The sequence below is a fragment of the Homo sapiens genome, chromosome 9 (assembly GCF_000001405.40).
Source record: "Homo sapiens chromosome 9, GRCh38.p14 Primary Assembly".
Taxonomy (NCBI): domain Eukaryota; kingdom Metazoa; phylum Chordata; class Mammalia; order Primates; family Hominidae; genus Homo; species Homo sapiens.
This window is the reverse complement of record NC_000009.12, coordinates 78,285,306-78,307,586: the sequence shown is the minus strand read 5'-3', so window position 1 is coordinate 78,307,586 and position 22,281 is coordinate 78,285,306. Positions and strand designations below refer to the sequence as shown.

The 22,281-nt window shown below is 44.8% G+C and overlaps 1 protein-coding gene across 2 annotated transcripts in view, besides 6 other annotated features; it reads right to left on the bottom strand.

Moving 5' to 3' along the window:
• PSAT1 (phosphoserine aminotransferase 1) overlaps positions 1-10,462 on the bottom strand; it is a 32,969-nt gene extending 22,507 nt beyond the window's left edge. For both annotated transcript variants that reach the window (NM_058179.4, NM_021154.5), the window contains exons 1-5: positions 10,317-10,462; positions 6,925-6,985; positions 5,564-5,633; positions 2,647-2,852; positions 1,101-1,273 (exon numbers count right to left, since the gene is read on the bottom strand). In NM_058179.4, the coding sequence (NP_478059.1) occupies positions 1,101-1,273; positions 2,647-2,852; positions 5,564-5,633; positions 6,925-6,985; positions 10,317-10,376 (570 nt within the window). In that variant the 5' untranslated portion in view covers positions 10,377-10,462. The remainder of the gene's footprint in view (positions 1-1,100; positions 1,274-2,646; positions 2,853-5,563; positions 5,634-6,924; positions 6,986-10,316) is intronic.
• Positions 9,857-10,096: a silencer, noted in NCBI's record as "silent region_19967". NCBI's record gives its function as "represses an Ori minimal core promoter by ATAC-STARR-seq in GM12878 lymphoblastoid cells {active_cell/tissue: GM12878}" and the evidence as "EXISTENCE:reporter gene assay evidence [ECO:0000049][PMID:35858748]".
• Positions 10,049-10,632: an enhancer, noted in NCBI's record as "NANOG-H3K27ac-H3K4me1 hESC enhancer chr9:80911871-80912454 (GRCh37/hg19 assembly coordinates)". NCBI's record gives its function as "activates a minimal SCP1, AML or CMV promoter by ChIP-STARR-seq in primed H9 embryonic stem cells {active_cell/tissue: H9 hESC(primed)}" and the evidence as "EXISTENCE:reporter gene assay evidence [ECO:0000049][PMID:30033119]".
• Positions 10,633-11,216: an enhancer, noted in NCBI's record as "NANOG-H3K27ac-H3K4me1 hESC enhancer chr9:80911287-80911870 (GRCh37/hg19 assembly coordinates)". NCBI's record gives its function as "activates a minimal SCP1, AML or CMV promoter by ChIP-STARR-seq in primed H9 embryonic stem cells {active_cell/tissue: H9 hESC(primed)}" and the evidence as "EXISTENCE:reporter gene assay evidence [ECO:0000049][PMID:30033119]".
• Positions 10,633-11,376: a biological region, named in NCBI's record as "NANOG-H3K27ac-H3K4me1 hESC enhancer GRCh37_chr9:80911287-80911870".
• Positions 11,107-11,376: an enhancer, noted in NCBI's record as "active region_28487". NCBI's record gives its function as "activates an Ori minimal core promoter by ATAC-STARR-seq in GM12878 lymphoblastoid cells {active_cell/tissue: GM12878}" and the evidence as "EXISTENCE:reporter gene assay evidence [ECO:0000049][PMID:35858748]".
• Positions 18,911-19,412: an enhancer, noted in NCBI's record as "H3K4me1 hESC enhancer chr9:80903091-80903592 (GRCh37/hg19 assembly coordinates)". NCBI's record gives its function as "activates a minimal SCP1, AML or CMV promoter by ChIP-STARR-seq in naive H9 embryonic stem cells {active_cell/tissue: H9 hESC(naive)}" and the evidence as "EXISTENCE:reporter gene assay evidence [ECO:0000049][PMID:30033119]".

The following is a 22,281-nucleotide window of genomic DNA, read 5'->3' as shown; positions in this document are numbered from 1 at the left end:
CCCTCTCCCATGCCTCTCTCCATGAAACCCTTAGGAAAATTGAGCGTTGGCAGGAAGTTGGGGGTGGGGGAAAGTAATTTATAGTTATTTAAAATTGCCAGTGCCTGGTGATAATAAAAAGCAGACCATAAACCAAATACAGTATATCTAAACAATTATTATTCAGCCTTTAAAAAGAAAGGAAGCTCTGACACACAGTACAACATGGACGAACCTTGAAGACATTCTGCTAAGTGCAATAGAACCTTGAAGACATTCTGCTAAGTGCAATAAGCCAGACACAAAAGGACAAATAGTACATGATTCACTTCTAGGAGATACCTAGAGTAGTCAAATTCACAGAGACAGAAACTAGAATGGAGGCTGCCAGGGGCTGGACGGTGGGGAGAGAGGGAGTTAGTGTTTAATGTACAGATTTCATCTGAGAAGATGTAAAAGTTCTGGAGATGGATGGTGGTGATGCCTGCACAACAATGTGAATGCTCTCAATGCCACTGACCAGTATATTTAAAAATGGTTAAAATGGTATATTTTATATTAAATGGTAAAATTTGTTATATTTTATCCCAATTAAAAAGGCAGAATACCACTCAGTCAGTTCAACTGTTGTTCTTAGATTCTCTACCCGCATCGCACCCTGGGGCATGTACCTACAGCGCCAGTCCCACTGCCCTGCCTTGGCAAGCCACTCATAAAACGGTATCCTGTTGATGCTTTTGGAGGTGGGTACCAGGCAAGGGGAAGCTCCCTCACATAGGTCCCCTGGGCTCGGGATAATCTGCATCTGCTCTTGAAGACAAGTCTCTCCCCGTCTGTTGACCAAACACGTTTCTAAGAACCACTCTCAAAAGCAGGTAGTTCCCCAAGGACTCGAGTGGGACCCTGTGAGGCAAACATCACCACGAGGCTGGGAACAGCAGGACTCAGGCACTGCAACAGCTGGGAATTCGCACCTGGCAGCCTGCTCACTGGCAGCTGCACTGGCTCAGGGGTTCTGCAGGCCTCAAACACCCATGGTTCTTCCCGCTCTTGTATATATTAAAATGTCCCTGCAGACACCGAGTCAGTGGGTTCCCCTCACCCTGCCTTTTATACTCTACCTTGGAAACATCCACTGGCTTGGACAGGAAGTTTGAGGACATGTCACAAACCAGTACTGCTCCCTTGACATCGGGTATAAAGTCAAACTCCACACCATGCACCGTCTCATTTGCGCAATAATACACGTAGGAGGCATCTGGGTTGAGGTTCCAGGTGCTTGGATCTGGAATTTCTATCACAGAAGACAAGTTTGAGACTTTGCACTTTTCACTCTCCTCTTTCCTTACATAGATGGGAGTCAACCAGGAGACTGACAGGCCTCCCCTAGCAGGGAAAGACTAACTGACTCCAAAGCATTGCACGAGTGAAAGCAACCTCCCAGCCTCATCCTTTGTTACCATCGTTATCAACATCCTGAGAGGATGAGCGATCCAACCTTTCGACTTTTACTGGGAACAAATCATCTTCAAAAATGGCATGGGAAGGTGGGCATGGTGGTATGTGCCCATAGTCCCAGATATTTAGGAGGCTAAGGTGGGAGGATCACTTGAGCCCAGGAGCTGGAGGCTACAGTGTGCTATGATCCTGCCTGTGAAGAGCCACTGTACTCCAACCCGGGCAACACAGAAAGACTCTGTCTCAACAAAATAAAATAAAGTAAATTTTTTCAAAAGGCATGGGAGATATCTGAGTTTTTACTTGTCGCCCAGTATCCATCTATCCTACATCCATTGATGGACTAGTAGTTTCTTCTTGGAACCCCAGCCCTCACCTACTCTCAGCCCACGTAGTTCCAGGGGAGCCAATGAAACCTACAGCCCAGAGGTAGAATGCAACTCAGGCATGGCCACAGGGACTGATTCAGAATGGGGCACAGGACATGAGACCGTTACTGGGAATGCTCCATAAAGGCATTGAAACTTGGGAGAATATAAGGTCAGGAGCAGCTGCAGCCACCTTTCAAGAAAGGGACAGCTTTTTCTGCCTGTGGAGCCACCAGGTCCTGGAGACATTGTTGGGGCCCCTGATCAAGCCATATCTAAAGCCAAACCAGCCCCTGGACTTTTTCAGCTAATTAGCTGAAAAACTACTACTAACTACTGACTAGCTTCTGCAAGAAGAGTATGCATAGGCCAGGCACAGTGGCTCACGCCTGTAATCCCAGCACTCTGGGAGGCCGAGGCAGGCGGATCACCTGAGGTCAGGAGTTCAAAAGCAGCCTGGCCAACATGGTTAAACTCTGTCTCTACTAAAAATACAAAAATTAGCCAGGCGTGGTGGCCAGCACCTGTAATCCCAGCTACTTGGGAGGCTGAGGCAGGAGAATCGCCTGAACCTGGGAGGCGGAGGTTGCAGTGAGCTGAGATTGCACCACTGCACTCCAGCCTGGGTGACAAAGCAAAACTCTGTCTAGAAAAAAAATAGAAAATAAAATAAAGTAAGAGTATGCATAGGCTCTAGTCTTAGCTAGTACAGCCACCCAATCTAAATGGTAATGAACTAACACTGTCAAGGGGAGAAAATAATTGAAAACTACAGATTGCCCTGGGTCGGGGTAACCCACCATTGAGCACGTCACCACCCAGCTCAGCTCCCAGAACTTACTTGTATAACTCCCAAGTTTAGGGTGAACGATATTTATAGTCCCAAACTTCTTGGCTTCTTCTGCGGCCTTAGCTGACCAAGCTCCTGTCACCACATAGTCAGCACACCTTCCTGCTTTCAAGCCAATGAGGTTTAAGGGGACAGCACTGAACTGGCCGCACCCACCTCCTTGCAGAAAAATCACCTTATAGTTGTCTGGAACAGCTCTGGGCAGAAGCATAGGTAACAGTCAATACATAAACTCATGTGGTCAAAGATTGAGAACAAGTGATGCTCTACCAAGTGCTTTAACTTGGGTGGATTTACTACAAGAAATATGGTAATGTTACAATACTACTTTGTCTTCCCTAATTCACTCATTTATTTATGCAATCCTTGGACAACTATTTACTGGAGACTGTGTTGAAAGCCTAGGGTTACTGTTTGACCTGAAGCTCTTCCTCCTCTTCTTAGTGACAACAGCCTGATGTTCCTTTAGGAAATTACCCCTCTGCCACTCTCAGTCGACATGGTTCAACTGTGGTCAACCCTGGCTCAAGGGGATGAGTACCTGCCCCAGGCTGGCCAATGGAATTTGGTACTGAGACCTTTACTCAAACTTCTAGGTAAGGAAAGCTGTTTCTATTGAGGGAAAGAAGAAACTTGTAGGAGCTAATCCTGCAACCAATGGTGGCCACCCAATGAAGAGAACACATAAGAAAGCAGAGCCAGAAGATGGGGGAAAATCACCTTCCTGCAGTCATTTAGAAGCACCTAAATTCTCCTGCATTTATCTGTTAGGTGAGATAATACATTTCTTTTTTACTTAAGCCAGTGAGTTGGGGGTCCTATAACTTGCAACCAATAATCCTGTGTTATGCAACATGCTATGAACCAGGTGGATGTTGGGCAGGGGGTTTCGATAATGTTTTAGGCCTACCCATGAAATCATGTATCTATTATACATCAAAATAAAAAGCAAAATTCTTTGACTCCAGGATGAAAAAGTAAGATAATGATGAGAATGGCTACAGGCAGTAGAAATAAGCCCAGCTCCAAAAGGACAAGGCCATGGAAACTGGACCCAAGCCACTGAGTAAGGTCAGAGCCTGGGAATAGGTGTACGGAAGCCAGATGGCCAGGGAACAGAGCTCCAGCAAAGATACAGAGGTAAATTAATAAAGGGCAGGGCAATGTGGCAGGGTCTTGGGGAATGGGGTGGTAGGAGTGTAAATATCTTGTCCTGAAAGATGTATGGCCTATATTCAGTGCTTAGTAGGATAGCAAGCAACCAGCAGGTCTTAGGAGACTCTGGCCATGAGGTTCTTAGCAGCTGGGAAGACTGATAACCCAAGACAGAGTTCCAGGTTCACATTATTCAGATGCAGGGCAGTTAACAAGGCCAAGAATTAGATGGAAAGAAACCAGGCCGAGGTCTAGGTACAGGTATACAAGGTGGGAACCAGGTTAGGAGAAGAAAAGATAGGCCCTTAAATTGAACTGGGACCCCAGTCAGAGGAAGTTCATAGCCATGTGGTCAAATGTCATCTCTCCCAGGCTGATGTTCCAAATACCCACTCCATGAAGGACAGGATTGTCCTATGAATGTGACATGATACTCAGCAGGCCAATGGACGAGAGAAGCCAAGCAGATGGCTACCAGCTCTGAACATTCACATTGCAATTAGCGTCTACAGCTCCTCACAGAAATATCACCAAGCCTGCCCCATCTGAATCATTTTATCAAGCAATTTGAAAAAGAAAACTTGAAATAATCAGTATAATTCCAATTTTGTTAATGTAATAATGCAAGAATGGGTCCTAACATATTAGTGATTATCCCTGATTAGTGGGGTTAAAGTTAATTTCAGTTTAGTTGTGAGCTACAGTGTTTTTCCTACCATAAATGTGCATTATTTCTGTGAGCAGGAAAAAAAATGGTATGCTTTCAAACTTGCTATATTCGTAGGTTTATGTGAACATGTTTATATAATATATAAAAATCTCTCCTTTAAATAGCAATCTATTTAAGAATAAGGGATTCTCTGGATAGGAAAGGCAGTACAGATAACCCAGGAGATTTCGTCTAAGCAGTAGTTCCTACAGTTCAGAACTCTTACAATTACCCAAAGAGCCTGTTAAAAATAAAGTCTCTCCAGAGATTCTGATTCAGCAGGACTAAGTGGTGCCCACCACTTGATTTTTTTTTTTTTTTTTTTTTTTTTTTTGAGACGGAGTCTCGCTTTGTCACCTAAGCTGGAATGCAGTGGCACGGTCTCGGCTCACTGCAAACTCCGCCTCCCTGGTTCAAGCGATTCTCCTGCCTCAGCCTCCCGAATAGCTGGGAATACAGGTATGCGCCACCATGCCCAGCTAATTTTTTCTTTTTTTGTATTTTTAGTAGATGGGGTTTCACCGTGGTAGCCAGCATGGTCTTGATCTCCTGATCTCACGATCCACCCGCCTCGGCCTCCCAAAGTGCTGGGATTACAGGCATGAGCCACCTTGCCCGGCCCCACTTGAATTTTTTAATATTCCCCCTAACCAGGTGACTCTGACAGATCGTATGAGACTCAAACTTCGAGAACACCTGAACTAGTTTATAGTCAATTATGCTGACAAAGATGACCATTTCTGTGTCATTTACATCTCTTTCACACCAGTTTAACTGCCACAGTGCTGAAAAATCATTCCTAGATACAATGATTTCAAATCTTTGGAAATATCACATAAAATAAAAACAAAAACATATAAACACGGGATGGGGAACAAATAAAAAGCGTTAGGTACTAATAGTGAATTGGAGAGAATCTTACAAGGATTATTTTAAATTATGAAATATTCTGAACAAACAATAGAGTGTAGAAAATACTGGAAGACATCCAGATTTAGGAAGTATCTAACAAAAGTAACATGATTTGGTCTTTTTAAAACTTACAGCAATTCCCGCACAAGATTCTCTGTATTGTTAATAATCTTGGCAAAATCTGATGACCTGTGACTCATTTCTGTGAAAGGAAAGATAAACAACAATAACAAATATTCCAGCTCAAAACCAAATGAACAGAAATACCTACGAAATTTGCAAGTAAACAACAATACAGGGAAATTTCAGTTATTCTGCATTCAAATTGTGGGCCAAGGCTCACTTAGTTTAGGGGACCATACAAACTGATTTTCAAATTGCAAACATTTTAGCTTTATAGTCATGGCAGAAGGATTTTTCAAGTGGTACATTCACTGAGCAAGTTATTTATTAATTCATCACTCCGTGATGCTCTCTGTGATTCTTCTTACCATCTCTTTCTCACAAACAGGAATCCATGTGCAACAGTTGCCCTTTAGGTCTGGAGCACAAAATTCCATGCTGTGATCTCACTTCACAGAAATCTAAGTATATGTCCCAAACCAACAGGAGCAAAATTTAACAGAAATAAGCAATATAGTTAACCCTATGGTCTCTTAATACCATGCAGTCTTCAGAACCGCCAAAAATAAAAGAAAATAAGTTTTAGAATGCAGAGGTCCTCTTCCCAAAAAATATAGGGGAAACTTAATAAGATTATCAATGTGCGAGGTCTTCATAAAAGGCTTATGTACTTTTAAACTTTAATGAGGTTGTATTTAAGTATAATAAAAACTGTAAATTGAATGTAAAGCAATATTATAAATGTTTGGAGGCACTGTTATGCAAATATACAGTATCTTCTGATCCTAAATCCTATGATTAGCAAAAACCAATTATGACAGGGTAAGCTGAGATGTCAGAACCTCTCACCAGCATTTATGCTATTTTCAAAATGGTTTCTATCAGACATGCAACCCAAGCTATTAAAGTTTAAAAATGTATCTATAAAGGCCTATAGGAAGACCCTATAGGCCCTGTAATTCTATATTTGATGCATTTAAATTAGTTCCCTTTGGGCCAGGGCTCAGTGGCTCAAGCCTGTAATCCCAAAACTTTGGGAGGCCAATGTGGGAGGATGGCTTCAGGCCACGAGTTTCAGATCAGCCTGGGCAACAAAGTGAGATCCCATCTCATGGGATCTTTAAAAAATGTTTTAAACATTTAAAAAAAATTAGCCAGGTGTGGTGATGTGTACCTATAGTCCTAGCTACTCAGGATGCTGAGGCAGGAGGGTCACTTGAGCCCAGGAGTTGGAGGCTGCAGTGAACTATGATCACGCCACTGTACTCCAGCCTGGGTGACAGAGCAGGACCCTGCCTCTAAAAAAAAAAAAAAAAAAAAAAGCTTCCTTTGAAACATGGACATTCACAGAATTCAAAAGTAAATCTTACCAAGAACACTAATGCCAACTCCTTTGTAGTCTAATAATTCCTTTTGTATCTCTAACAACACCTAGAAAAAAATAAAGGAAAATAGGGTTATTTAAATATGTTCTGCACTGCTTTCCCTCTGAACATACAAACCTGACGAGGGGACAAGGAAGGGTCTACAGTGAGGTCCCCAGGCTTCCATCCCCACCCACAGCCAGTCTCCTTCCTTCCCATGTCCACAAAGCCAGCGATTATGCAACTTACACACAAGGTAAGCATGAAATTAGGCAATGTGACTGATGTTGATACACTTTTTCCAAAGGCCCGAATTTACCGATTCCCTAGAAAATGTCCCCTTCACAAATCTCATTCACCACTCTCCTAAAGCTAAAGTAAAGAATGCATAAAGTTCTGGGTTAAAGGGACAACGATAAAAAAATTATGCCCAGATTATACAGGTAACTCAATTTTCCGATCTCTTTTGGTCTAAGGTGCTAGACTGGGAAGCGTGGGGTGGGCAGGAAGAAGGAAGAGCCTGCTGTGAATAAGATTCGTCCCAGGGTGCTGCAACAAGACTGGCACAATGTTGATAATTGTTGAGTCTCAGAGATGGGTCCTTGGAGGTTCATTACACTACTTTTATCTTTGTGTATGTGAGGATTCCCTTAATAAAAAATAAAGAGAAAAAGAAAAGCTTTAAAAATGAACACAAAATAAGTGCAAAAGCAACCAGCCAGAGAAGGTCTACAGATAGGAGGCACCTTTTTTTTTAAGATGCTTGCTAAGGAGGGCATCATTAAAACACAGCTATAACCTAAACTGGATTGCAACTTGTCTCAAAAAACAGTATTTTAACAATAAAGAATTAGACAAGGCCGGGCGTGGTGGCTCACGCCTGTAATCCCAGCACTTTGGGAGGCCAAGGCGGGCAGATCATGAGGTCAAGAGATTGAGACCATCTTGGCCAACATGGTGAAACCCCGTCTCTACTAAAAATACAAAAATTAGCTGGGCTTGGTGGTGGGTGCCTGTAATCCCAGTTACTCAGGAGGCGGAGGCAGAAGAATCGCTGGAACCCGGGAGGCGGAGGTTTCAGTGAGCCGAGACCAAGCGACTGCACTCCAGCCTCGTGACAGAGCTTGACTTCTCTCAAAAAAAAAAAAAAAAAAGAATTAGATTAAAAAAAAGACTGCCTTGACGACTGGGTCTAAGAATGTGTTATTGTTTTCTGAAATGTTGGATGCTTGTTAGCACCAGCTGATCAAATAAAATAGAGTGAATCTTTTCTTTTAGTAAAGAGAAACATTCATCTGTGAATAATCTTTGAACTTGCTCCTGAGACTGTATCTTTCTTATAGACAGCATTCATTGAAAATAGTTCTATAAAAGTTTATAACCAAAATAATTACAAACAGTTTTAAAGACTCCTACTGAAAAATCACACCTCCCTAATCCAGTAGGTTTTTTTTTTTCCAGTTGAAGAATGCATTGCTTTTGTGGATCATAACCAATTTTTTTTTTTTTTTTTTTTTTTTTTTTGTTAAGAGACAGGGTCTTGCTCTATCACCCAGCCTGGAATGCAGTGGGACAATCACAGTTCACTACAGCCTCAAACTCCTGGGCTCAAGAGATCCTCCCACCTTAGCCTCCTGAGTTGCTTGGATTACAGGCGTGCGCCACCACACCCAGCTCACGACTAATTTTTTTAATGAAACAGAACAGACTAGAGCAGGATAGAATACAAAATAGTGTATGTCACAGGTAATTAGGCTACACATCATTTCATAAGGCATTTATTTTTGTTACAATTGAATGTGTATACTTTGTCATTTTGTAAACATGTTTTTCACTGTAGGTTACAGTCAAAAGAAGTTTGAAAGCTTCTCTAATATTTACAATTCAACTAAATCAAGGAAATACATAAAAAGCAACATCTGCCTGCCCCCTCACCCTCCTGCCCCCCAGGTTACATGCAGTCCAAGGGCAAAAATCCTCCCAGAAAAATTAATAACAAATAATTGTATTACTGATGACAATTGCCATTACAATTATAGTAATAAATTAATAACGAAATACATAGGGAACAAACGTTGGGAACACTCCAAAACATGGGGGGTGCAGGAGGAGGCTACAGGAAACATCTCCACAGCTGGAGCAGGGAATCTCGCCTAAAATGAACTGTAACCACTGAGAAAAAATAAGCCCTGTCCTCTCAGCTACTGTGAGCGCTGCCCCTAGAAAAGTAAGAAGTCCTTTCCCCTTTAAAATTGGATTCTCTGTTCTTACCACAACACAGAGGAGGCTCTGTCCCAGGGAGATTTCTACTCTGCTCAACAATTGATAATTGTAAAATACTTGGCTATGCCTCATGCTGCTCCAACATATTATCAGCTCTATCCTGGTTAGAAAAATAAAAATCTAACGGCGGCGGCAGCCGCCTGACAATGGGCTCAAGGCACATCGGAGACTTTGCCTTCTTCACTGCGGGTGGGGCTGGGGACGGTGGGTTTGGCGGGGGAGGGGAGGAGCCGGGCTGGGGCCTGGGAAGGCAGAGAGTGAGTTCCACCAGCAAGATCTGATTGTGGCCCGGGAGAGAATTCAATCACTCGGTTTACTCCAGAACGAAATGAACAGGGAATTGGGTTAAGCAGCCCAAAGTCTACCAGAGTTAGAATACTCGAACGCCTTTAGGGGACAAGCAGGTTAAAAAAAGGAGGGGGGTGGGGAGAAAGGCTTTAGGAAAGGGTAGGTTCTATGGGGGACAAGGAGGGGAAAGCTGGACTGAAGGTTTTCAAATTTACATTTCTGAAAAGCAGTGTTCCTAAGTGCTGGCTAAAGCAAACACTGGTGTAAGGCGTAGGGGGGCACGCACACGCGGACCTTTAAGTTTGCAATCCCTTTCAGCTAACGTGATCCACTGCATATGCAAAACCTGTCATCGGTTCATTCCCGTTCATCACTCATTCACACTATGTCCATTCATGCATCCGCTCCACACTGCCCGGGCTCGCCGCACAGCTGCGCGAGGCGAAGGCAGAGATCAGAGCTTTTTCTTTTTCGCCCCGCCCCAGCCCCCGGACCGGCCCAGGAGATGGCACAGCCCGGGCGTCTGCAGGTGCGTGGCACCGGCGGGACAGCAGGCCCCGGCCAGCTGAGTCGTGCACTGCCTCGCACCAGCAGTCAGGGCCAGGGGCAGCTGCACGGGCACGCCTCGCCGAGCTTCCTCACCAACTGCATTCTTCCCGAAGCCCGCTTGCCGGAGCTGCTGATCCCGCTGTGCACGCTGATGCAAAGCGCCTAGGGGACTCAAGGCAGGGAGCGGGAATCCGACTGCCACACGCAGGGATGCAAACCCACCCGCGTGCGTGCTCCCGCCTGAACCTCACTCCCGGCGCCCGCTCGCGGGGACTTACTGAGTGCGGCAGCTTGGCGGGACCAGGCCCAAAGTTGACCACCTGCCTGGGGGCGTCCATGGTGCGGCGGCCAGGGCGGTGAGTCAGCCAAGGAGGACCGAACGCGTGAACGGCTGGCGTTCCTGGCCGCTGCGGTGAGAGTCTGCAGCCGGCCCCGAACCCCCGCCTTGTTCCTGCGCCGAGTCGGCGCCCCATTGGCCCGTGCTGTCGCAGGCCCTGCGCTAATTGGTTCGCGCGAAGGAGCTCACATCCCCATTGGTCGCGCTTCTGAGCCGAGTCGAAGCAGTTGCTCCTCCTCGCGTTTACTGTTTCAACCCCCATTTTTGATCAATGCAAGGAGCGCGCGAGATTGCGCCAGCCAGCCGAGCCGGCTCGGCTGCGCGCCCGCCCGAGGATTGTGGGCGGCGGGAAGAGGCTGCCCCTGCCAACCTGCCTTCGCCCCTTGAGCCCGCAATCTGGCCGGTTCCAGTCCTCCAACCCCAGAGGACCTCAGCTCCTCTCTCTTGGCTGAAAGGGCAGTTGCCGAGCAGATTTGTAGCCCCCATCCACCCACCTCTCCACCACCAGCCCCCAGTTTGGGCTGTGATGTATTTGTTCCAGAACCACCAGTCACTAATCTACCAAACTTTTCTAAGCACCCCCCACGGGCGTCAGATACCCCAGTGGAGAGAGAGGACCCCCCCAAGGTTGGAAGCGCAGGATGAAGAAGGGCCGGGGGTGGGTGGATACGGTTCTTTGTATTTGCACGTGGGTCCTGAGTTCCTGCAGGATTAAAGAACGGAGGTGGCCAAGGACGCAGGGAGGAGCGATAGCCTGGGAAGCGTGGATGCCCGCCAGGCAAGTCCTTTAAAGTCGCTGATTCTCCATTTCCTCCTTTGGGAAACGAGTGAGCTGGAAACCTGCGACAGCTCTCAGGTTGCGCCCGCGCTGACAAGCTGTGAGTTTAGAAACGTGAGGAGATATTAACAAGAACGCGATACCCATAGGGCGCTGCAGCCCAAACCAGAAGAAGGTGGCCCCTAGCCAGGCCAGGCGCAGGGCCAGAGCTGCTCAAACTTTTCCACAGAAGTGTCCTTCTCAAAAGAACTCCAGTGGAGACCCGCATGGGGTTCTGAAACAGAATACCCTCCCCCTACCCTGCAAGAAAGAAGTTCCTTTGAAGTCTGGAATTTCATCATTTTTAAACTGTGAATTTTGCATTCTCTACCATAATTTAACCTAGTTTCTTTTAATGTAAAAATATTTTCCCTGTCTGAGTAAAATTGATGCGCCAGGAATATATACAGTCCAACTGCCCCGTTTAGAGAAGGCTTGTAACTGGACAGGACTTTGGCTTTTGTTTGCTTTTCCTAATGAGAATGTGGGCGGTATGGGGCTGAGAGCAGAGGCACTGCTCTGGATCTGGGAATTGGAGGACAAAGTTTCCAGAAAAAGGCAAAATGAACAAGGCCCCTGCGTTCCTCAGCAACTTCATTAAGAAAACCGCGACATTCAAGACAGAATAAATCTCAGCCCAGAAACTCAGGCATGCAAGAAGCATCACATATCCATTATTTTACGTAAATAACTCAGTTATTATATATTAGTAGCTGCCCCTAGCAGCTTATCTACTGGAGACTAAGGGAGTCAGCCTTCATCCTTCCTGGAGTTAGTTCCTAACACCAGGGCTATACACAGTCCCATGTAGTGGGTTGGGAGAAGGGACAGCACATCCATTTGGTCCTCTGTTCCCAAAAGATATGGCTGAGTTGTTTCCACTGCCCAAGCTGATGTGGCTGCTTGGGTTGATGAGCAACCTACTACTTCTGTATCCCACTAGGGGCACAGGAATTTGGGGTGGGGTGGCGGTGGCTATTGTCTCATCTGCTAAGACATCCCCTGCAGCCATTCCTCCCGGGGGTCCTGCAGTTTCCAAGATGGTATTTCAGGGACACAAGTCACACATACAGTCAGCCTCAGGACCCACTGACCTCTGTTTGTCTTCCTCCCGCCCCTGGGCAATCTCCTTTTCAGTCTAGAGAAAATCTGTCTTTTCCATGTTTCTTCCTCACACTGTGCCCACAAACACCTTAAACCAGAGCCACAAACTCAAATGCCTCCAGGGGCCACTCAGGGATATGAAACAAGTAGTGGGAACTGTGGCAAATTGAGTTCACCTGTCCATTTGTGGCACAGGTGCACGCGGCCACTGCACATTTATGATTCCCCCATCCATGGGATAGGGTTGATGGCAGGAAGTGGCTGCTCAAACCGGCTTCATGTTTCCCAGCTCCCTTTGCATCTAGGTGAGCCACATGACTGGGTCCCCCCAGTGGAATGTGGGCCAAGTGGATGTGTGTCACTTTCAGGCCAGGGTGGTTGAGAAATGGGTGTGCTTCTCCACTTCCTTTTTCCCATTCCACAGGCTGAAAACAAAAAACTCCCTGGCCCCTAAGGACAGTGGAGACACAGCAAAGAGGGAGCCCCAGGTCCCTGAATCACCTGCACCAGACTTGTCATATGTAAGTGAGAAATCAGCTTCTTTTGTGCTATGTCACTGAAATATGAGAGGCGATTTGTTACAGCAGCTCACATTATCCTGATTATTATGCCATCCTAAATGCAACAGCTGAAGTTCAGATCCAGCTGGTTGTTGCCAAGCAGGCAAATGAAGTTGCTTGAGCTGTCTTCACGTTTTGAAAGAAAACCCAGGAACCCAGATTTTTATGTGACATCTCATTTTTAAACATCTACAAATGTAAATTTCAGCAAAACACTGTACAGATCAATATTTTGAGGGGCAAACTCCAGCTTATCTGAGGCCTTATTGAGCCTACAGGTAACAAGCTCTCTGAAGGACTGTTTATAGTGTTCTGCCCCCAAATTTCCTCCAGTTCAACAAGGAACACCCTCAGCTAAGTGCTTGAATAAAGCAGCAGCAAAGGAGGAAACATAATTTAATCTCAAAATATTATTTTGTCCTTCTTGCCTATTTTGCACTGATCTATAAAGACAGTCCAGGCCGGGCACGGTGGCTCACGCCTGTAATCCTAGCACTTTGGGAGGCGGAAGCAGGCAGATCATGAGGTCAGGAGATCGAGACCATCCTGGCTAACACGGTGAAACCCTGTCTCTACTAAAAATACAAAAAATTAGCTGGGCATGGTGGCGGGCGCCTGTAGTCCCAGCTACTTGGGAGGCTGAGGCAGGAGAATGGCATGAACCCGGGAGGCGGAGCTTGCAGTGAGCCAAGATCGCGCCACTGCACTCTAGCCTGGGAGACAGAGTGAGACTCCATCTCAAAAAAAAAAAAAAAAAAAAAGACAGTCCAGAGGAACCCCTGCATGTGGGAGGGATCCTTCCCTCTTAGTAGATTCTCATTTAGCAAGTACAAAGAAGCTTCTTTATGAAATACATATTTCGTAAAAAGGCAGAAATTCAATTTTCACAAGTATTATTCATTGAGTACTTCTATATGTGAAAGATGCTGGGCTCTGCTGCGATTGCCAATCAGACCCAGCCATCCTGTTTAGAGAGCAGTGAGAAGAGAAGTAGGCAACATGAGCAGGGGAGAAAATCTATTTGGAATGAGACAAGATTATTTCTGCTGCCCTTTTTGTAGTTGGAGCTAAAGATCCTTTTCCCTTATCATTATTCCCAGAGAACGTGAGGAAGGGAAGCTGGGCCCAGTGGCTGACGCCTATAATCCCAGCACTTTGGGAAGCCTAGGCAGGCGGATCACTTGAGGTCCGAAGTTTGAGACCAGTCTGGCCAACATGGTGAAACCCCGTCTCTACTAAAAAAAAAAAAAAAAAAAATTAAAAATTAGCCTTGCATGGTGTCCCGCACCCGTAGTCCCAGCTACTCAGGAGGCTGAGGGAGGAGAATTGCTGCCCCCAGCTCCAGCAACCACCATTCTACTTCCTGTCTCTATGAATCCGACCACTCTAAGTACCTCTTGTATGCGGAGTCATACAGAATGATTGATCCCGGGAGGCGGAGGTTGCAATAAGCCAAGATTGCGCCACTGGACTCCAGCCTGGGTGACAGAGTGAGACCCTGTCTCAAAAACAAACAACAATTTTAAAAAGTGGGAGAGAGGCAGTAATCATAGTTTATGTAGCAAAAAGAAACCAAAAGTCAAAGTCCTATTACTTTCTTTATTCTGACCCCAACAGATAGGAAAAGATATCCATCCTACTCTCTTTACCTCAGTTTATTTCCTTGCCTACTTTGCTTCATTTTTTTATTGACAAAATATGCATAACATAAAATTTACCATTTTCAAGTGTACAGTTAAGTGGCAGTAAGTACAGTCATATTTTTGTGCAATCGTCACCACCATCCACCACCAGAACCTTTTCATCTTCCCACACTGAAACTCTGTACACATTGAACTATAACTCCCGCCACTCCCCAGCTCCAGCAACTACCCTTCTACTTCCTGTCTGTATGAATTTGACCACTCTAAGTACCACCTGTAAGTGGAATCATAAGAATTTGCCCTTTTGTGTGACTGGTTTATTTCACTTAGCATAATGTCTTCAAGGTATACCCATTGTGCTTCATTTTTTTTTTGTAGAGATAGGGGTCTCGCTATGTTGCCCAGGATGGTCTCGAATTCCTGCCCTCAAGTGATCCTCCCACCTTGGTCCAACAAAGTCCTGGGATTACAGGCATGAGCCATTGCACCTGGCCTCATTTTGCTTTATTTTTAAAGATTAGTATAGATGTTTAAAAGATCTTTAAGCTCCGCACAAGTGAAATCCCTAAAGAGGTTATTTAAGAGGCACGCTCTCTGTGGACTAGTGGGCAGAATTACACAGGGGATGCACACTGCTTCTACCTCTTACATCCTTAAAAGATTTCAAAGTGGAAAAAGCATCAGAATTTATTTAACTTTTTTTTTTTTTTTTTTTTAGAGAAAGGGGCACAACTCCTGGCACCATCTCTAACGTGTTTACACACTGGTATTTTCCACTCCCAGCCCCGCTGGCTCTGCTCATACGCGTGTGCATTTTTGGGATCAGCACTCTTCATGAGGGCTGCCTCACAGAAGGGTTCCACATGGAAGCCTGAAAACTAGCCACAGACCACTCGTTTCACCACCTGTGCAAAGTCAACACATGCCTATTTCAGACAACCATCCAGGCTGTTTGAGAACGACTTTTGTAGAGTTAATAATCTGTGGGTTGTTTTGTTCTTTCCTTTTCTTTATGAGGCCAGAGGAAATACTAAGGCAAAGCACAGAGAGAGAAAATTCAGGGATGACGGGAGCAGAAGCCAGTTCAGGATGTGAAAAGTCTTGCTTTTTCCTCTTCTTTTTCTCATGCTTCAAACTGAGTGCCAGCTCCAAAGAACCACGCACACTGCCTCAGAGATAAGCAGGGACTGTCATTTAATTGTATTGTTTGGCTTATGTCTTGTATAGAAAGGCAGCAAAGATTAATTAAAAATAACAAGAATTCAAAGCTGCTGGGGGTGAGAGGCATTTCTGTAACCATCAAAACGAACTGGGCAGGGGCAAGGGGAGCAGCTGGCTTGAGGGGAGGGAGCTGGAGGGGAGGGAAGACTGGCTCAGCATGTTGTGGTGTGTGCATCTGAGGCATATCCAAGCAGGGTGTGTGTGAAGACTTTTTAATGACGTAAGAATACGCCTCATATGAAATATCAAAATGAAAGAAAAAGCTGCTTCTCATCAGCACAACAATTAACTATCTCCAAAAACAATTTTTTTAAGCCCACCTCCTTGGAGTCACAAATTCTACTCAAACTTAGACAACAAATTATAGTCCCAAACCAGAACATCAACAGATGTGTTCAGATTCATTCATTCAACAAGTACCGTCACGCATCGCTTAACAACAGGGATATGTTTTGAGAAATGCATCCTTGGGCGATTTCATCGTTGTGTGAACATCATAGAGTGTGCTTACACAAACCTAGATGGCACAGCCTGCACACACCTAGGCTATATGATACAGCCTAAGCCTATACAGCATGTTACTGTACTGAATACAGTGAAGATTTGTTGAATGAAAGAATGAGGTTACATATACTATACCTATTGTGATAATTCTGCTAAAACAAGGAGAGGTCTGTTCCAAAGTTGATGTCTTCACCCCTAGAGACAGAAAACTGCTTATTATTATTAATTATCCTGCACCCCTTTCAGCAGAGTTTCAAAGGAGGTTTCATCTTTCCTCATTCTCAAATTCAATCTGTTCTGCTTCACAATTTTTCTGTGCTCTATCGACTTCTATCTCCATGCTGCCTGCCTCGTCCAAGCTCCCATGATCTCTTCTAGACTCCTGGGCCTGGACTCCTTGCATTGACATCACTGACTTAGAATCCAATCTCCAAACTGCAACCACAGTGAACTTTTGAAAACATACGTAAGGTAGATCATGTAGCTCCTCTGCTCAAAGTCCTCTAACAGCTTCCCGTTACATTTAGAACAACAATCAGACTCCTAATGGGCCCACAAGACCATACTTAGCCTGGTTCTTGGTCATCTCTTGGCTCAGCCCTTGCTTGTTTCTCTGGAAACTCACCAGCCTCTGCAATAGTACTTGTTTGTTGTCCATTTCCACACTAGACCATAACTTCCCAGAGAAGCTGAGACTGCACCTGCCTTTTTCACTGCTGTATCCCCAGCATCAAGCATATTAGGTGCTTGATAAATATTTCTTGAGTGAATGTACAGGGCAGGAAGAAGGAAATTAATGAAAATGCTAACAGTCTGTTGCTGGGTTGATAATTCTAAAAGAGTGAGGTGAGGATAGGCATAAGACCACCAAAAACCCCTGAAGATCCTAGGACGCCACTCTGCACCCTTTGAGAGCCTGTGGTTCTTCAGGCCCATCCTCCCACAAGTCATTTCTGCCAAGGCTGAAGGCCTCATCGAGTCCTAACATGTCGCCATGCAATTAGGATTCTAGCTCAGTTTCTTCAATGCTGAGTGAAGCTGCATGTGGAAGCTTACCAAATGATATGGTTTGGCTCTATGTCCCCACTTAAATCTCATGCTGATTTGTAATTCCCAATATTGGGCGAGGGGCCTGGTGGGAGGTGATTGGATCATGGGGGCAGATTTCCCCCATGCTGTTCTCGTGCTAGTGAGTAAGTTCTCATGAGATCTGATGGTTTAAAAGTGTACAGCACTTCCCCCTACCACCCACCACCACTTTGCCATATTAAGACGTGCTTGTTTTCCCCTTGCCTTCTGCCATGATCATAAGTTTCCTGAGGCCTCCCAGCCATGCCTCCTGTACAGCCCATGGAACTCTGCATCAACTAAAACTCTTTTCTTTATAAATTACCCAGTCTCAGGTAGTTCTCAGCAGTGCGAGAGTGGACGAATACACCAAATAATTCACCTCCATTCAGCTTGCACTAGATGCAGTCACACTTATCTGAATTTGCACAACCACTCAAAGTTCATGGCAGACAATGGCAAGTTGCAGGTTGTTGAAGGGATGTATTTTGTGGAGGGAGAATAGTTAGTTAGAGAGCCAGGCCCACAGGGTAGCATATGTTTGTTTCTCAAACTCACAGAACTGGAAGGAATCTTGGAATGTCATTTAGAATCATCTACCCATGCATTCTGAGAACCAGTCTCTCCCAGCATTGTCCTGAGGCAGTGGGAAGGAGAAATTACATTGCCCTGTAAATCAGTACAAAGCCATTTCCAGATGACTGCCCAAGGATTTGGGTGGAGGTTTGCAGAACTGAGGAGTGAGATGAAAGAATTTTTAAAGTAATAACATTTATGCTGATTCTGTATATCCCAGCATACTTTAACTTTCATCGCCAAAATGGAACCCTTAGGTAACATAGAATGACTTGGTGTCCCCAGGCTGGCCCCAGTGTCTCAAGTCGTTAAACATGCATAAACCTCCTTGGACAGCCAAAGATGATTAATGAATCCTAATCAGGTATACTAATCATGTGGAATTAAGGAGCCAAAAGGAACTCTGTAAGCATTCTAAACTGTAAGGTTAGAGATCAAAGAAAATCACCAAGTGTGCTTATGACAAATAATGTCAAGAGCACCCACTCTCTTCCAGACAACACAGGGTCATTTTCATGTATGAAAATATGAAGTATTTCCAGTGTGTCTTACATACATTTTGGGGTGTTTGTGATTGAATTATCCAATTTGACTCACAAATCTCAGTTTAGGCCAACTCCTTCACTTTCTGATGAGAAAAATGGTGCAAGGAGGTAAAGTGATGCTGTGAGGCTGGGCCAGTTCTTCCACCTGTGGCTTCATACATGGACGTCCTGGAACCTATTGGTAACGTATTTTTCCATTTCATAGAAAGAAAAGCCAAAACTCAGATCCAGGATTTGTCCAGGATCACCAGGAGTCTGTTCTGGGCTTTGAACCACGGAGAGAACATCAAATCACTGCATTTCCATTCCAAAGAATACAACTCTTTCTGTTAGGCACACTGCCCTATTTTAAAAATGATGTAAAGGTGTCAGTAATTTAAATTGTCCCAGAAGAGAGCAAGCTCCGAGTAATACAAGCTGAACCTGAGCAATCAGATGGGATCTAAGAAGTCAAGGGTGTGAGCCGAGAAAGCTGTTGCACAAGCGTGTGACATGCCCTGTCTTGCCCTGCTGCCTGGGGATGCTGCCGCTCCCTCAATAAAATGCTGCATCCTTTCCAAACGGGAGACAAGGGCCTCAAAGAGTGCTCCTGTGGCTTTTTGCTGGTGATGCCCTTCTATCCCTCCACCCCCAGATTTTATCCAGAGTCTCTTAAGCAGCCTGGGTTAAGGTTTTCCATTTTTCTCTGTACGTTTCCTCTTTTCATGCTCAGCTAATTCTTACCTCTCATTGCCTAACATCAAGTTAGTTGTTGCCATTGTCCTGGACTTTGATGTTTCTGCGATTGCTGAGTGCCATAGGGAAATGTCTAACCATCCTAGGGGTATGGCTCAGAGGAGAAGCTATTGGTTTGCAATAAAAATCTTGAGATGTGTTTATGTAGAAGACCCAGTGAACGGAAGAGTCTCTCTCCTTCTCTAACTGGTTGAACTTGACATGTTTATACACTGTCTAGTACCTGTTTCTTCAGGTACTAAAATACTTTGCCTTTGTTTTTCTAGATCTCCTTATGTAGGAAAAATGTTAATAGCATTTGTTGTTCCATAACTGTTTTATCCCTTTTAAAGTTTCCTGAGGCAAATGTGACACATGATCACTTTCTTTTTTTTTTTTTTTTTTAGACGGAGTCTTGCTCTGTCGCCCAGGCTGGAGTGCAGTGGCGCGATCTCAGCTCACTGCAACCTCTGCCTCCTGGGTTCAAATGATTCTCCTGCCTCAGCCTCCTGAGCAGCTGGGATTACAGGCGTGTGCCACCATGCCCGGCTAATTTTTGTATTTTTAGTAGAGACAGGGTTTCACCATCTTGGTCAGGCTGGTCTCGAACTCCTGATTTCGTGATCCAACCACCTCGGCCTCCCAAAATGCTGGGATTACAGGCGTGAGCCACCATGCCTGGCCACATGATCACTTTTAAATGTTCAAATACACAGAAATTTGGAGTGTAGAAAGGGAAGAACCAGAAAGTAACTCATCCAAGATTAACCACACATTAACGGTGGGAGTGGAAACCAGATCTCTCTCGTTTGCTCTTAGTCTAGGGTTCAAGATACTTTTCGTGCTACTCCTTGTTTTCTCATGAAAAGCAGGCAATAGCCTAGTCTCCTCCACCCTATAGGAATGCTGGGTGGCCTGAGCCTGATGCCCTGAGCTGTACCCCTGGACTCTTTTAATTGAAAGTGACAGATATCCAACTCCAACCAGCTTGGGCAGAAGAGAAATGGATCCATGCATGGAACCTGAAACCAAACCTCAGGGTGGGCGGACAAGGGTAAGTAAGGCTGCACTTCTAGGTCAACCCAAACAGAAAACCCAAATGCTGTGAGGTATGCATCTCTGTATGTCTTTCTGTTTTGTTTGTTTGTTTAGAGACAGGGTATTGCTCTGTTGCTCAGGCTGGAGTCCAGTAGCATCACCACAGCACAATGCGGCCTTGAACTCCTGGACTCAAGCAATCCTCCCACCTCAGCCTTCCAACTGGCAAAGATTACAGGCACATGCCACTGCACCTGACCATCTGTGTATGTCTTTCTTTGGTTTTGTTTTCTTTTCTCTTTTCTTTCTCTCTCTCTTTTTTTTTTTGAAACAGGGTCTTACTCTGTTGCTCAGGCTGGAGTGCAGTGGCGCAATCTCAGCTCAATGCAACCTCCGCTTCCTGGGTTCAAGTGATTCTTCTGCCGCAGCCTCCCTAGTAGCTGGGATTACAGGCGCCCGCCACTGTCCTGGCTAATTTTTGTATTTTTAGTAGAGACAGGGTTTCACCATGTTGGCCAGGTTAGTCTTGAACTCCTGACTTCAGTGATCCGCCCGCCTTGGCCTCCCAAAGTGCAGGGACTACAGGCTTAAGCCACTTTACCCAGCCTATATCTTCCCTTTCTAACTTTGCTTCTCTCTTCACATCATTTTATCCACTCAAACTGGCATTCTCCTCAAGCCTATAACCATGGCCAGTGATTGTATCATCTTTGCTGTGAGAGAAGAAGGGACTCTCTTCCCTTGTTTCCAGGTTAAACATCATCTCTCAAGGATTTCAATGCCTTTGAGTCACACACCCATCCTGTACCCAGGAAAGCAGAGCAATCAGATTGGGACCCACTGAACCACAATACTGAAGTGAGGTAGAAACAGTTCAACCCCAAAAGGGGATGCTCTTGGCAGAAGAACCACAGAGGGCTGGGAAGGCAAATGCTGTATGTACCTCCCCTTCCCTCCTCCTTTACACAGCTCTGCCCAGTGACTCCATCTCAATTTTCATCAATAATCTGAATCCTGAGGTGTTTTGCTGATATACACTGTCTCCCAGACAGTCCAGTTCATCATCCACACAGGAAGACTACTTAGAATGAGTTACTAGCCCAGCAGAAATCTGAGTTTCAACAGAAAATCAATGATTAACATTTTATCCCAAAGTGCTAGGTAATATTACAAAAGCAAGAAGTTTTTATTTTAAAATCACTGAATCCTTATTGCTCTGAATTGCACATGACCTCAAATGGCTGAACTCAAAAGACCATACCTCATTGAGAAATATTTACCATGCAAGAATTCTTTATCTATCCCAGAGCTTTAGCAAAAAGCCCATCTTTCCTGCACTCCCTGTCCTGTCATCTCAGATTGTACTACTGAGATTTATTAGTTTTATATCTCTGACTAGGACAACTCAAAAATAATAAATATTTCACCTCTTTCTTTTGTTAGAAAACTACAGAATTGTTACTTCTGCAGAAATCTCAATGAATCTTCACTTCCATTTATGAATTGCATTGTTACAGATATTTTTCAGCCTCAGGATTCGAGCTTCCCCACATCTCACTAGTTTCAAATTATATGAAGGTCAGCAGTAGTGAACATTCAATGCTCTTCCCTCCACATGAATGCGGGCTCCTGTGTTCTGAGCTCACTGCCTGTTGGCCACGATTGGTTGCTTCAGGATGGATCTCCTGATCCAGGGGGTGTTCATCAAAAATCTTTCCCAAGATTTTTGTTTTAATTGTGGTAATAAACACCTAACATTAAATTTACAACTTTAAACATTTTTCAAGTGTATAGATCCGTTGTGTTAAGAACATTCACATTGTTGTTCAATCAATCTCTAGAACTTGTTCATCTTGCAAAGCTGAAACTCATTAAACATTAAAGCTGAAACCCATTAAACACCTCTCCATTCTCCTTTCTCCAGCCCCTGGCAACCACCATTCTACTTTCTGTCTCTATGAATTTGACTACTCCAGGTACCTCCCATAAGTGGTATCATATAGTATGTGTCTTTTTGTGACTGGCTTCTTTCACTTAGCATAAGGTCCTCAAGGTTCATCCATGTTGTAGCATGTGTCAGAACATCCTTCCTATTAAAGGCTGAAAAATATTTCAT